At 57.9% G+C, this 14,260-nt stretch overlaps 1 protein-coding gene across 15 annotated transcripts in view, besides 6 other annotated features; it reads right to left on the reverse strand.

The window, feature by feature from the left end:
* Window positions 1-14,260, reverse strand: part of RASA3 (RAS p21 protein activator 3) — a 154,841-nt gene that overhangs the window by 54,430 nt on the left and 86,151 nt on the right. For all 15 annotated transcript variants that reach the window (XM_047430157.1, NM_007368.4, NM_001320821.2 and 12 more), the window contains one exon: window positions 8,788-8,882. Coding sequence is in view for 8 of the 15 variants with exons in the window: in NM_007368.4 (NP_031394.2) it covers window positions 8,788-8,882 (95 nt within the window). In the remaining 7 variants the exon portion in view is untranslated. The remainder of the gene's footprint in view (window positions 1-8,787; window positions 8,883-14,260) is intronic.
* Window positions 3,479-4,047: an enhancer, noted in NCBI's record as "H3K4me1 hESC enhancer chr13:114801167-114801735 (GRCh37/hg19 assembly coordinates)". NCBI's record gives its function as "activates a minimal SCP1, AML or CMV promoter by ChIP-STARR-seq in naive H9 embryonic stem cells {active_cell/tissue: H9 hESC(naive)}" and the evidence as "EXISTENCE:reporter gene assay evidence [ECO:0000049][PMID:30033119]".
* Window positions 3,479-5,177: a biological region, named in NCBI's record as "BRD4-independent group 4 enhancer GRCh37_chr13:114801666-114802865".
* Window positions 3,978-5,177: an enhancer, noted in NCBI's record as "BRD4-independent group 4 enhancer chr13:114801666-114802865 (GRCh37/hg19 assembly coordinates)". NCBI's record gives its function as "activates an origin of replication core promoter dependent on BRD2, P300/CBP, MED14 and CDK7 cofactors, and independent of BRD4, by STARR-seq in HCT116 cells {active_cell/tissue: HCT116}" and the evidence as "EXISTENCE:reporter gene assay evidence [ECO:0000049][PMID:35650434]".
* Window positions 7,029-7,923: an enhancer, noted in NCBI's record as "H3K27ac-H3K4me1 hESC enhancer chr13:114804717-114805611 (GRCh37/hg19 assembly coordinates)". NCBI's record gives its function as "activates a minimal SCP1, AML or CMV promoter by ChIP-STARR-seq in primed H9 embryonic stem cells {active_cell/tissue: H9 hESC(primed)}" and the evidence as "EXISTENCE:reporter gene assay evidence [ECO:0000049][PMID:30033119]".
* Window positions 11,125-11,264: an enhancer, noted in NCBI's record as "active region_8046". NCBI's record gives its function as "activates an Ori minimal core promoter by ATAC-STARR-seq in GM12878 lymphoblastoid cells {active_cell/tissue: GM12878}" and the evidence as "EXISTENCE:reporter gene assay evidence [ECO:0000049][PMID:35858748]".
* Window positions 11,525-11,624: an enhancer, noted in NCBI's record as "active region_8047". NCBI's record gives its function as "activates an Ori minimal core promoter by ATAC-STARR-seq in GM12878 lymphoblastoid cells {active_cell/tissue: GM12878}" and the evidence as "EXISTENCE:reporter gene assay evidence [ECO:0000049][PMID:35858748]".

Consider the following 14,260-nt stretch of genomic DNA (forward strand, 5'->3'; position numbering starts at 1 on the left):
CCCGAACCCTGAACCCGGCTCTATTCTGAATTTCTTCCTCAGGGGCCAGGAGGGGTCATGCCTGTGGGCCAGAGCCAACATTCTTTTCTGCTGATCTCAATTGTTTGGACAAAGCTTCTCCTCCTTAACCAATCACAAATCAAAAACGCTCTATATCCGACCCATGGGCCACACGTCGTGATGTCTGCCTTCTCAGGTCAAACTGACATACGGCCTCCATGTACTGATTTATGACTTTGCCACAACCTCAGCCTCCCCACCTTCTGAAACCCTTGCCTGTGAACCCTCGGGGTGCCTGGGTCGTGGGCGCAGCCTGCCCTGCCAGGGTGCACACCCCGAAGCCCCTGGTCAGGGAGTGGAACATAAAGCCCTTCAGCCCTCACTTGACACCGCGTCGGTGCAGCCCCACGGCACCCCCACACTTGATACTATGCCCCACGGCACCCCCACACTTGGCACCACGTTCCACGGCACCCCCACACTGACAACACGTCCCACGGCACCCCTACACTTGACACCACGTTCCATGGCACCCCCACACTGACACCACGCCCCACGGCACCCCCACACTGACACCACGCCCCACGGCACCCCCACACTGACACCACGCCCCACGGCACCCCCACACTTGATACCACGTTCCACGGCACCCCCACACTGACACCACACCCCACAGCACCCCCACACTTGATACCATGCCCCACAGCACCCCCACACTTGACACCACGTTCCACGGCACCCCCACACTGACACCACACCCCAAAGCACCCCCACACTTGATACCATGTTCCACGGCACCCCCACACTTGATACCACGTTCCACGGCACCCCCACACTGACACCACACCCCACAGCACCCCCACACTTGATACCATGCCCCACAGCACCCCCACACTTGACACCACGTTCCACGGAACCCCCGCACTGACACCACACCCCACGGCACCCCCACACTGACACCACGCCCCACGGCACCCCCACACTGACACCACGCCCCACAGCACCCCCACACTTGACACCACGTTCCACGGCACCCCCACACTTGACACCACGTTCCATGGCACCCCCACACTGACAACACGCCCCACGGCACCCCCACACTTGATACCACGTTCCACGGCACCCCCACACTGACACCACACCCCACAGCACCCCTACACTTGACACCACGTTCCATGGCACCCCCACACTTCATACCATGTTCCACGGCACCCCCACACTGACACCACGCCCCACGGCACCCCCACACTGACACCACGCCCCACGGCACCCCCACACTGACACCACGCCCCACGGCACCCCCACACTGACACCACGCCCCACGGCACCCCCGCACTGACACCACGTTCCACGGCACCCCACACTTCATACCACGTTCCACGGCACCCCCACACTTGACACCACGCCCCACGGAACCCCCACACTTGACACCACGTTCCACGGCACCCCCACACTGACACCACGCCCCACGGCACCCCCACACTTGACCCAGCGCTCACAGGGGGAATGGAACTGGGTCTGTGCTGCCCAGGCAGGTGTGGGAGGTGGGGCCTCCGCTGCTGTCCTGAGACTCTGGGGTCTGGAGGTTGGGTGTGGCCTTCCCGCCCTGTGGCTGCAGCCCCAGAGCAGGTCCTGAGGGGCCACAAGGATGTTGGGCCGGGAAGGTGGGCATGAACCCCACGCCAGCACTGTGGGCGGGGAAAACAGGTGCCTAAAATGACAACAAAGACCCCACCAAGACCACAGCTCCTCTTCCCACACCCATCAGAGCTCAGGGCTGAGCGGAGTATCGCCTGTGGTCCTCACCGCCTGGCAGCGGGCCTGCTATCCGTGGCTATCCATGGGCTAAAGGAGTGCCCTGAACACCAGCCGGGCAGTGGGCCTGCTATCCGTGGCTATCCACGGGCTAAAGGAGTGCCCTGAACACCAGCCGGGCACTGGGCCTGCTATCCGTGGCTATCCACGGGCTAAAGGAGTGGCCTGACCACCAAAGACAGGAGAAAGTGCCTGACCCAAGAATAACCAAGAATCCCCACTGCTTCATCCCCGTTCTCAAATGCCGGGCGCAAACTCTCTCAGGACAGAAGCGTTCAGATTTGCAAGGCTGTGCAGACGGAGGTAGCTCTATTCACATTCGGGAGCTTCAGGAAGAGTCACGACTGCATGTGGGGGGTCCTGGTCCCCAGCAGCAGGCTGTGTGGCCCCCGTGTGCTCTCCCGGCCCCTGGCAGCAGGCTGTGCGGCCCCCGTGTGCTCTCCCGGCTCCTGGCCGGGTCCAGGGGCACCTGGCTGGTCACCATCAGGTCCTGAGGCTGCTCCTGTTCCTGCAGCATGAATCCCTCCTGACCAGCTGACTTGTGTGCTTTCGTCTTCTGCTGATTCAGGAGTGGGAACAAACAAAACCCACCCCTGGAAGGCCCTTTCTCCTGCCAGAAAAGCCAATGAGTAAATCTGCAGGTGCTGGCGCAGGCTGGAGAATCCCAGACATTTAGAGGTTAAACAACACAGTTCTAAATAACACACAGATCAGAGAACGCAAGACAAATTTTAAAATGTTCCGGAATAAACAGAAATGAAAGTGTTACTCATCAAAATCAGTGGGATGAAGCGGGAGCCGTGCTCGGGGTGGAGGGGAATCTGGAGTGCCGGCCACACAGACTAGAGCAGAAGGGAGATCTGAACGCTGACCTGAGCTTAGAGCAGAAGGGAGATCTGAACGCTGACCTGAGCTTAGAGCAGAAGGGAGATCTGAACGCTGACCTGAGCTTAGAGCAGAAGGGAGAGCTGAACGCTGACCTGAGCTTAGAGCAGAAGGGAGATCTGAACGCTGACCTGAGCTTAGAGCAGAAGGGAGATCTGAACGCTGACCTGAGCTTAGAGCTGGGAGACTGAGAAAAATGAGTAAACTAAACCCAGAGCCCAAGAACAGAAAACAGAAGTCAGATCGGAAACCAATAGGTAAAAATCAAAGCCAACGGCAAATTCCTTGAGAGATCAATAAAATTAATAAACCTCAAACCAGGCTACTAAGAGCAAAAGGGAAAAGGCACAAATTCCCACAGGAAAGGAACGAGAGGACCTGGCTGCCGACCCTGGCACCTGCCTGGACGCTGCACTGAGGTCCCTGGCGCTGCACTCCTGCGAACTCACAGACGCAGCAAAGGGGCCCCAGCGTCCAGCTCCTGACAACGTGTGGCTGCAGTGTCACCCATGGGGCCCTGGGCGGGGGCTGCTGAGGGGTGTATGGAAACTCTGTACTCTGCTCAATTTCCCTGTGAACACAGAACTGCCCCCAAAACAGAGTTAATTAATTTTTAAAAAGCAGCCAATGGTCCCTATCCATCTTTCTCAGGAAGGCCTTCCCCAGGGAGAGAGCAGCGCGCAGAGCCGGGTCAGGGTCCTGGCCCCACCCACCGGTTGCCGTGTCCCCCACTGAGCGGGCAGCGGCCCAGAGAGCAGCCAGGACAGAGGTGCCTTGGATGCAGGACTGTTCCACGCCGGCCGCAGAGAGGAGACGAAGTCCGCGGGCAGATGAGACAGGATGCAGAGGCCATGAGGAAGGAAGCCCAGCCTCGGCCGTCTCCTCTTACAACCCTGGAGAGATGTGAAAGCTTGACGACGGACGGTGACTTTGTTTGCTCCGAAAATCCTTCCAAGAGGACTGTCTGCTGCACAAACACAAAATTCCCAGAGGCTGTAGCAGGAGGCTGGAATTTCCAGCCCAGTGAGATTTCACGGTGCAACTGGAAGGCTCCAAGGGGGAAACACGTAGGTGTCTCTTGGGCGGATGGCAGACCCAGGGGTTTGCTGTGATCCCCTGCAGGGCTGTGCTATTTTCTGAATACGTCACAGATGCACTTGAAAGCCTGGTTTATAAACGGAGCTCAGTGACCCCCAGGCGCCCAGATCACCGCGGATGCCTCGCTGTCACAGGCGGTGCCCTCGCTGGCATCTGACGCTGGCATCTCCCCCACTGGCATCTGACGCTGGCGTCTCCCCCGCTGGCCCTGCATCAGGGGAGGGTCAGAGAGCACAACTCTGCATAATAAAGTGATTTAACAAAGACTTTCCAACAGTGGCCGTTCCAGAAGGAAGCAAGAAAGGTTTAATTGTGTTTCCCCCATTTCTGTGACTCACTTGCTGGCCTCCCCCATGGGCTGCTTCTGTGACACTCGCTGTCCGGACACAGGACTGTTCCTGGGAATCACAGAGCGGAGGGACTCATGGAGCCACATGGCTACCCCCTGCCTTCCTGAAAATGGTCACTGTGACATCTTATGATGAAACGGCGGCTCCTGAGACTGGAGTTGTGGGGTTTTTTTTCTTCTTCTTCTTCTTTTTTTGAGATGGAGTTTCACTCTTGTTGCCCAGGCTGGAGTGCAATGGCGCGATCTCAGCTCACAGCAACCTCCGCCTCCCGGGTTCAAGCGATTCTCCTGCCTCAACCTCCGGAGTAGCTGGGATTACAGGCATGCGCCACCACGCCCGGCTAATTTTGTATTTTCAGTAGAGACGGGGTTTCACCATGTTGGTCAGGCTGGTCTCAAACACCTGACCTCAGGTGATCCACCCGCCTCGGCCTCCCAAAGTGCTGGAATTACAAGCATGAGCCACCGCGCCCAGCCTGGAGTTGAGGTTTTAAAGGTTGGCTGGAGTCCAGCAGGGCCACTGCTCCCTGTCACGCTACGTTTTGGGCGGCGTTGGGGCTGACTGCATCAGTGAAGCAACGCATTGGAGAGCAGCGGGCATTGGAGAGCAATGACCTTGCCTCCTCCCTTTTAGACAACAGCTCGCATTTGCCTTCCATAAAGTGCAAATTCCCGGGAGACTGACACCACTCGGTTCAGGATCCTCATGTTCCGGACAGTGAGAGTCAGGCTTGGAGGACGCTGGGCTTGGCCACGGGTACGCAGCCTCGGGCGTTAATTATGAGATTCCACCAGCTGTGAGATCAACCTGCGGCATTCTTATTTACAGCTTTGTGGAGATGCAACGTCTGAGTCCTGATCGTCATGGTGGTTACACTATCTACCCTGTGATGAAGTTGCACCGACTGTCACAACAGCCCATCGGCAGGTGACTGGAGCAACAGCACACGCTTCGCACCTCGGACCATTCCTCAGCCTTGGAAGGAAGGAGGTTCTGATACCACAAGCGACCCGGAGGATGTCACGCAGAGCGACATTAGCCTCAGAAAGACCAGCAGGGTAGAGCTCACTCCCATGAGCCACGGGGAGTGGCCTGCGTCAGAGACAGAGTGCCATGGGGCTGCCGGTGGGGAAGGGGCGGACGGGAGCGTGTGAATAAAACTCTAGCCAGGGGACAGAGGGGACGGAGGTTCCGTTTTGCAAGATGAAAGGAGCTCTAGAGATGGGTGGTGGTGACGGTTATACAATATTATGAATATATTCAATGCTATACCACTGAATTGGACATTTTAAATGGTTAAAATGGTAAATTTCATGTCTCTGTTTTACCACATAAAAAACTGGAAAAAATAGCATAGAATACACAGAGAGACACACACAGAAACACGTGCCTGTGAACTGGTGAAATCTGGATAACATCCGTGGACTGCACAAACGTCGGCGTCCTGGTTGACGTTGCACCAGCTGCGCATGGCAGTGCCTGGGGAAGCCGGGAGAAGGGAGCACAGCCTTCTGTTTGGGGAAGCCAGGAGAAGGGAGCACGGCCGTCCGTTCGGGGGAGCCGGGAGAAGGGAGCACGGCCTTCCGTTCGGGGGAGCCGGGAGAAGGGAGCACGGCCTTCCGTTTTCAGGGAAAGGTGGGAATTCGCCCCTCGCCACTCCTGTGTACTGTTTTGATGCCTTCCTATAGATCTATAACCATTTCAAAATTAAATCAGTAAAAAAAAAAAAAAGGCAAGAAAGAGGAAAAGCTACACCTGCCAATAAAACCAAACTTGAATCCGAGGCAAACGACGAGGCCGCACTCTGCCAGCTGCTCAGAGGCCGTTGTGACGGAGACCCCAGCGACGGCGGGTATCCCAGAATAGAAGAGCTGGGGAACTCGCCGACACGCAGGCGGGAGCGGCCCAGTCACCAAGCCCCGTCTCCCGGGCAGCACGTGGGAAACCCCGCCTTTCTGCCGGGACGCCAAGGTCCGTGGGAGCAGCACGCTGGGGCCCTTGTGCTCCGGGGATGCGAGGACAGTCATTAGTTCTGCAGTAATCACAGCGTCCTTCACTTTCCACAGCACGTGTGGGTTCCCCAGCCAGTGCTTTCCCAGGAAGCAGAGTTAATTAAGTGTGACGCACAATTAGCACAGGTCCCTTGGGGCAGGGCCATCCCCAGGGCTTCTTGGCTCCACTCCTTAATTTCCGTCAAGGGCCTCACCCCACCCCCACAGCTGGGCTCATGGTCAACTTCATGAATGAACCCTTTGCTGGCCATGGGCGTGTGCACAGCTCATGACCTTGGCAAATGGCAACCTTGACCCAGTGAAGCGCAGAGGATGAGGGTTGCCAGGGCAAGACGGTTCCCAGAGGACGAGGGTTCCCAGAGGACGAGGGTTCCCGAGGGATGAGGGTTCCAGGAGGATGAGGGTTGCCGGGGGACAAGGGTTCCCAGAGGACACCAGGCCATCCAGTCCCCCAGCCCAAATTTGCCCTGAACTTGCGGGCACAGAGCCTCCATCCGACCCACCCAGTTGCCTCTGCTGAAGTCTCAGGCGAAGTCCTCACAAGGAACCTATTTTGGGGATTTGTCCAGGATGCCAGCCTCCAGGTGTAAAAATAACCATCACAGCCACCAATTTACGATGCGCCAGGTGCCTTCGAGTGGCACACACGCCATACCAGCACGCTTCACAAACCCACCCAGATGGGAAAACTGAGGCCTGCAAAGGACGTTGGCAACAATCCGATGAGGGAGCTGGCTCCGAGCCTGGCGGCCTGTGCTGGGACTCTGCACTCAGACACACACTGTGGTACCAGCTGAGGACCCAGGAAGCCCTCCCACATCCCAGGGCCGCTGTGCTGCAACCCCATACTCAGACACTCACCCTCCTACGTCCCAGGGCCGCTGTGCAGCAACACTACACTCAGACACTCACTGCGGTCCCAGCTGAGGACCCAGGAAGCCCTCCTGTGTCCCAGGGACGCTGTGCAGCAACCCTACACTCAGACACTCACTGCGGTCCCAACTGAGGACCCAGGAAGCCCTCCCGCGTCCCAAGGGCGCTGTGCCACAACCCTACACTCAGACGCTCACTGCGGTCCCAGCTGAGGACCCAGGAAGCCGTCCGGTGTCCCAGGGACCCTGTGCCGCAACCCTACACTCAGACACTTACTGTGGTCCCAGCTGAGGACCCACTTGGGAAACCCTCCCACGTCCCAGGGTTGGGCCACGGTGCCTCTTGCTTGTGGCCTTTGCAGCTGCTCTGTGTCACAGACCAGGGCTCAGGGTGACCCCACAGGAGCTGGTGCAGGCTTGGGCTCCGGTGGACTGACCCCCACTGCTCCCTCTGTTACAGGCAAGCCTGGAGCAGCTGTTGCCGGGCAGCTGGGCACCGTGCGTCCGTGAGCAGCTGTGAACACAAGGGTCTGGGACATGGGCCCCAGCACTGGAGCCCCCGGTCTTGCGTGGGGAGGTGGGACAAGCTCCCCCCACTGGACAGGACCGGGGTGAGCCCCAGTCAGCACACAGTCCCGGCAAGCCAGGGTGAGCCCCTGGCCACTTTCGACAATGGACACGGGAGACCAGAACGCTCTTTCAGCTCAGACCCTTCTTGGTGCCGCGTGCCAGGCAACAGCCCGCCCAGCCAACCGTGGGGAAGTGAGGGTCCCTGAGGGCTGACCCTGGCTCGGCCCTTCCCCACCCATGTTTTCTCTTGGGCCTCAATGACGCGTGCCTGTCCTTTCCCACCGTGTTTGTTTTCACAGCTTCCTCAGTTGTGCATGACAAAGGGCGGCAGTAGGCAAAGGGAAAACCCAAAATCCATGCACGGAGCCCAGGCTCACTCCGAGCACAAGTGGGCGAACAGACACAATGCAAAATCCATGACAGAGCCTGCGCTCACTCCGACCACAAGCGGGTGAACACGCCCAACCCAAAATCCATGGCAGAGACCGCGCTCACTCCGAGCACAAGCGGGCGAACACGCACAACCCAAAATCCATGGCAGAGACCGCGCTCACTCCGAGCACAAGCGGGCGAACACGCACAACCCAAAATCCATGGCAGAGACCGCGCTCACTCCGAGCACAAGCGGGCGAACACGCACAACCCAAAATCCATGGCAGAGACCGCGCTCACTCCGAGCACAAGCGGGCGAACACGCACAACCCAAAATCCATGGCGGAGCCCGCGCTCACTCCGAGCACAAGCGGGCGAACACGCACAACCCAAAATCCATGGCGGAGCCCGCGCTCACTCCGAGCACAAGCGGGCGAACACGCACAACCCAAAATCCATGGCAGAGCCTGCGCTCACTCCGAGCACAAGCAGGCAAACACGCACAACCCAAAATCCACACGCGGAGCCCGCGCTCACTCCGAGCACAAGCGGGCGAACATGCACAACCCAAAATCCATGGCAGAGCCTGCGCTCACTCCGAGCACAAGCAGGCGAACACGCACAACCCAAAATCCATGGCGGAGCCCGCGCTCACTCCGAGCACAAGTGGGCGAACACGCAATCTGCTCATCGTTATTCCCAGTCAAGGCCGAAGCCCGATCTACGTCTTTAGCCACAGTCGGAGCCGGGCCCGTCTCGAAGCCCCATGGTGTCCCAGGGCTCTGGTTTCCGGGGCTGCGCCGAGAGTCTCACCTGCACTTCCGAGTCAGCGTCCACGTGCTGCAGCTGGAACCAGGTGTCCCTGTTGTGGTACTTCTGCAAGTCCTCCTTCTGGATGGCCACCTTCCCTGCAACACAAGCAGAGAAGACTTCACCACGGGCACAGGCCCCAGAGCCAGGACGCCTGTGAGCAGAAGCCAGCCCATCATCACCGCAGCTTATTTCCAACAGTTTAATTCAGAATGGGGCACCGGCCGGGTGCGGGGCTCATGCCTGGAACCCCCACGCTTGGGAGGCCCAGGGGGGAGGGTCGCTTGAGACCAGCCTGAGCGATATGGTGAAAACTTGTCTCTACAAAAAATAAAGGAATGAGCCGGGCATGGTGGCACTGTATCTCTAAAAATTGATATTAAAAAGTCAAAATAATCAGGTGCAGCGGTAAGTCTCCACTGTGTCCCTTCCAGTAAGGCGTTCCAGAGGCTTCGCTGTGAAGGCGCGAACGTCCGCTCCATCGGCAATGTGCGCCTCACTTTCACTGTGGTCCGTGGCCAGTTCTCACAGCAGGAGGTGCCTCGGAGCTGGCTGCACCAGAGCTCTGATCTCACAAATGAACACCCCGTGCCTCACACACCACCAAGGCAGCAGCATCACGCCACAAGAGACACGTGTGCACCCGTGCGAGCGACAGCCTGAAACACACGTGTGCCTAGGGTGCTTTCCGTGTGTGTGGACACGCACGTGTGTGCATGCATGTGGGTGCTCAGGTTATTCACAGGCAGGACTGAGAGCCAGAATGAGCTGCCACCTTCCCACGCGACGTGGGTTGGTCTGAATCTGTGCCTCTAAAGTGTAATGAATGAGCCGCCTTCTGGGACCCCTGGAGAGCCTGAAAGTGTAGATTCCTGGCCTTCTCCAGACGGAGGAGAACAGAGGCTCTGGTGTGGGCTGGAATCTGCACCACCACAGGTCCCTGGGCACTTGTGTGGGCCCCAAAGTCTGGGAACGTCCACTCTAAACAGTTTCCCGTGCCTTAAACAGGCTTAGTACTTTGGGGCTACGCTTCCAGTGAAAATACGTATCAGAATATATTTGTACAATATACGTTTACCTAGTATGGATTTATATGTGTAAATTCGCATCTGCAACCATTATTATCTGCTTATACGTTCACCTCATTCCAGAAACATTCCCGAGGCGCGGCAAACGTGTGCCCATCCCATCCCCGGCAGGACAGGGCTTGTCAGGCGCTGGGCACCGAGCCATCTCCCATCCTGCGTCCCTTCATGGCACCACCATGTCAACCCTGCCAGTGGCCTCCGCACACTGCGGACCACGCCACCCACCACGGTGAGCACCCACGGCAGCACATGCACCTCTGTTGACCGATGCACGTGAACTCCTAGGGAGTCGCACACACATGTGAAGTCTGAGCCCATCACAGAGCACACACGAGAGCAGGAGTGAGGAAGGAAATGTTGGCAGACTCCTCACGTCTTCGTTCTGCACCCAGAGACACACACGCCCTCCTTAAGGATCTTGGTCCAGTCACTGAAGTGAGAAACTCTGGGTCCCCGCAGACCCGGTTCACCGCAGCGTCCGCAGCCACAGGGTCTGAGCACATTGTGCATGACCTGGGCTCCCGGGAGCGGCCTGGGCCTCCTACCCGGCCACCCTGCCTCACGCCAGGACAGCGCAGCCCAGCCCCGGTTCTCTCTTCCAAGGAAGATCCTTTTATATTTCCGTGTCTCAAAAAACTTCCGCAGGCTCCCATCGGAACAACCCTGGCCTGGCATCCAGCAGCCACATGCTTGGGCCTGATTCTCTGTCCAGCCTCAGTAAATTCGGGAACACTCCACTGCCAGCCTCTCACAGGTGCCATCTCAGTCGGTCCTGCGGTGACCCTGGAGGAGCAGGTACCACTCTGCACACCCCACAGACGAGCAGGCCGGGGCTGCAGGGAGAGGGAGCTTCCGTCCCTGCCTTCCTGCCAGCGTTCCTTCCTATGTTGGCGTCCCCACCCTGCGAGGTCCCAGGACGCATCTTCCCTCAGGAGCTCCTCTGCCTCGCGGGCTCATGCGAGCGAGACCTCTCAGCCTGACTGGTCCATTCCGTGACTAATCTCAGAGCCCGTGGGCCTGGGCCACCAGGCCCCTCCTTTGTCTGCAAACTCAGAGGGTCTGAGACACGCCCAGCTCAGCACCAGCTCCAGACCCTATGGGACAGCGCAAGGTCGGCCACATGATGGAGCACCACATGGCCACAGGACATGGTGGGAGGTGCGGAAGGTGGAAAGAGGCACAAAGACGCTTTCCAAGTGCCCAAAGGAGAGAGACGGAATCAGGACAGTTTGCCTCCAGTGCTGCTGACACCTGCCATGCACGTCAGCATCTTCATCTGATGTCCTCAGGGGAGCCGGCTGCACCTCACACCATCCACTCTGCAAAGCAAAGCAGCCCTGGGAACAGCCCTGGAAAAAGCCCCTTCCCAGCTCCGGGACCCCCGCTCACAGCCAGGGCCGGCCAGTTCCACAGCTACCCGGACGTAGATACAGCACACAGGCACTCATGGGTTCCTAAGATCAGCCTGGTGACCTCATCGGCTCAGCTCTTGCCACACAGACATACACAGGCCATCTGGAGCTGCACGGGACGCTGAAACCACCACTGAGGGCAGGCGAGAGCCAAATCAAGAACCAAGGGGGCCGGCACAGGAAACAGGCCCCAGCACATGTGGGAGAAGGAACACCAGGGAGGCTCAGAGAGAAATCCAGTGACACACCACGTGGACTCCCTCCAATGGCCTCTAATGGCGCAGACCACGAGGGTGGACGACAGCCAGGACACCTCCGCCTGGCCCACCTCACTCGCTGAGCCCCCCGCCCCGCCTCACTCGCTGAGCCCCCCCGCCCCGCCTCACTCGCTGAGCCCCCCCGCCCCGCCTCACTCTCTGAGCCCCCCCGCCCCGCCTCACTCGCTGAGCTCCCCCCCGCCTCACTCGCTGAGCCCCCCCGCCCCGCCTCACTCGCTGAGCCCCCCCCGCCTCACTCGCTGAGCCCCCCGCCCCGCCTCACTCGCTGAGCTCCCCCCCCCGCCTCACTCGCTGAGCTCCCCCCCCGCCTCACTCGCTGAGCCCCCCCGCCCCGCCTCACTCGCTGAGCCCCCCGCCCCGCCTCACTCGCTGAGCCCCCCCGCCCCGCCTCACTCGCTGAGCCCCCCCCGCCTCACTCGCTGAGCCCCCCGCCCCGCCTCACTCGCTGAGCTCCCCCCCCCGCCTCACTCGCTGAGCTCCCCCCCCCGCCTCACTCGCTGAGCCCCCCCGCCCCGCCTCACTCGCTGAGCCCCCCGCCCCGCCTCACTCGCTGAGCTCCCCCCCCGCCTCACTCGCTGAGCCCCCCCCGCCCCGCCTCACTCGCTGAGCCCCCCCCGCCCCCCCCGCCCCGCCTCACTCGCTGAGCCCCCCCGCCCCCCCCCCGCCCCGCCTCACTCGCTGAGCTCCCCCCCCGCCTCACTCGCTGAGCCCCCCGCCCCGCCTCACTCGCTGAGCTCCCCCGCCGCCTCACTCGCTGAGCCCCCCGCCCTCCCACCGGCAGCCCTGGGCGGGCGCCTTTGACTTCAAGGGTCCGGAGTGGGGGCTCTGTCCTCTCCTCTGACGACCGCTGCGTGGCTCTTGCATAACCTCCCCTTTCCCCCACAACACGAACCTCAGTTTTGAGTCTCACAGGAATAAAGCCACATGAAAGCAAAAACTTCTTAAAACTGAGTTGGGCAATATATTTCAGTGAAAAGGGATAAATCTTCAGACTCCAAGACGCCTTCAGCTGGACAGGAGGGTCAGTTTTGAAGTCTGAAGTTTTAAATACTTGCAATGTCACTGTGTCTTCACATTTTTATGAGCTGAAACTGGGACGGGAGAAGTCACATATTTACGTGGATAAAAATCTTGTAACTGGCACATGATTACAAGTCTTTAATTTTAGAAGTACTTCACTTAATTTTTTAATAGGTAACACAGAAACAGAACAAAATCCACAACATTCAAAAGGATTTAAAATCCCTTCGAGAAGGGATCCCTGCCCCTGCCACCTCATTCCCGACGTGGGGTCACTTCTGTCACCAGCCCCCAACCTTTCCTTCTAGAAGCCAGCCACATTCAACAATGGGGACCGTGGACATTTGAAGCATGCGTGTTCGTATCTCCAGATGCTGACCTGAGAGAATGCCTGATCTAAAAGCCACGGCGTCTACTTAAATTTCTCTGATGTGCCTAATCCACAGGGTTGTCCCCATCTATTTGAGTCACACCGAAAAGTTTACCGAACACTCTGGGCCTCCCTTTCTCACTTGGGCAAAGGCGGCTGCCTTCTCACCACGAGAGGCCGGAAGGGTCACTTTCTTCTGCTGCATCTGTGCTGGCCAGGCCCGTTCAGAAAGGAGGAGCCAGGGGTCTGGAGGGCATCAGACGGGGGACCAGCTGCAGAGGGACCAGAAAAAGGGGAAACAGCCACAGGACACAACTGAGCAAGAGCTGCCCGAGACAGGGAATGCGGCTGAAATGCGCGCGCCTCCCTCTGACCCCACCTGTGTCCCAGCCAGGGCCACGAGGAAAAAACAAAGGCCATACAGATCCCAAAGGAAGAAATAAAAGCCTTTATTCATAGAATGTACAAAAAAAAATCTACAGGCAAAGCTAATAGAACTAATTGGTGTGTTCAGCAAGAACAGAGAACACAAAGTCAGTGTGGAGACGTCGACTGCGTTTGTACATACAAGCAATGACCATGAAAATTACACAAAAACAGCACCTTTCACAAAATTATGCTTTTAGGTTTGTGCTTTTGGTGGACTACCTCAGAAATCTTTAACCACTCCACTAAACACATAAAACACAGGGAAATAAATGTTTTTAAATGTGCAAAATGTGTAGGCTGAAAACACATCACAAAACACTGATGAGAGAAATTGGAAAGACCCAAGCGTGTAAAGATATACCATGTCCATGGATTTGAAGACTCAGTTTTGTTAAGATATTAATTCTCCCCAAATTAATCTATAGATCAATGTAATCCCAGTCAAAATTCCTGTGGGACTATTTTGGAAATTGAGAAGCTCATTCAAAAGTATATATGGCAATTCAAAGCATCTAGAATAGAAAAACAAGTTTAAGAACAAATTTGATGATCTTACACTACAATGTAAGACCTGCTATGAAGCTATAGTGATCAAGACTGCGTGGTATTGGCATGAGGACAGGTGGATCAATATGACACACAGCAGGCGAGCCCCAAATTGGGGCTTAGCCTCAGAGGGTCTGTAGCTTCACTCAGGAAAGAATTCGAGAATGAGGTGGTGGTGGAAGAAAACAGTTTTATGGAGGCGGCAGTGGCAGCTCTGAAACTGCTCCTGCACAGCAGGACTCCCCACGGGCGGGGTGTTGACAGTCTCAGCCGTTCCTGCAGAGAAGGGTTCCCCATAGGCAGGGTGTTGAGAGTGGCACCTCCGGGCACTGC

This window comes from Homo sapiens, chromosome 13 (assembly GCF_000001405.40).
Source record: "Homo sapiens chromosome 13, GRCh38.p14 Primary Assembly".
Taxonomy (NCBI): Eukaryota; Metazoa; Chordata; class Mammalia; order Primates; family Hominidae; genus Homo; species Homo sapiens.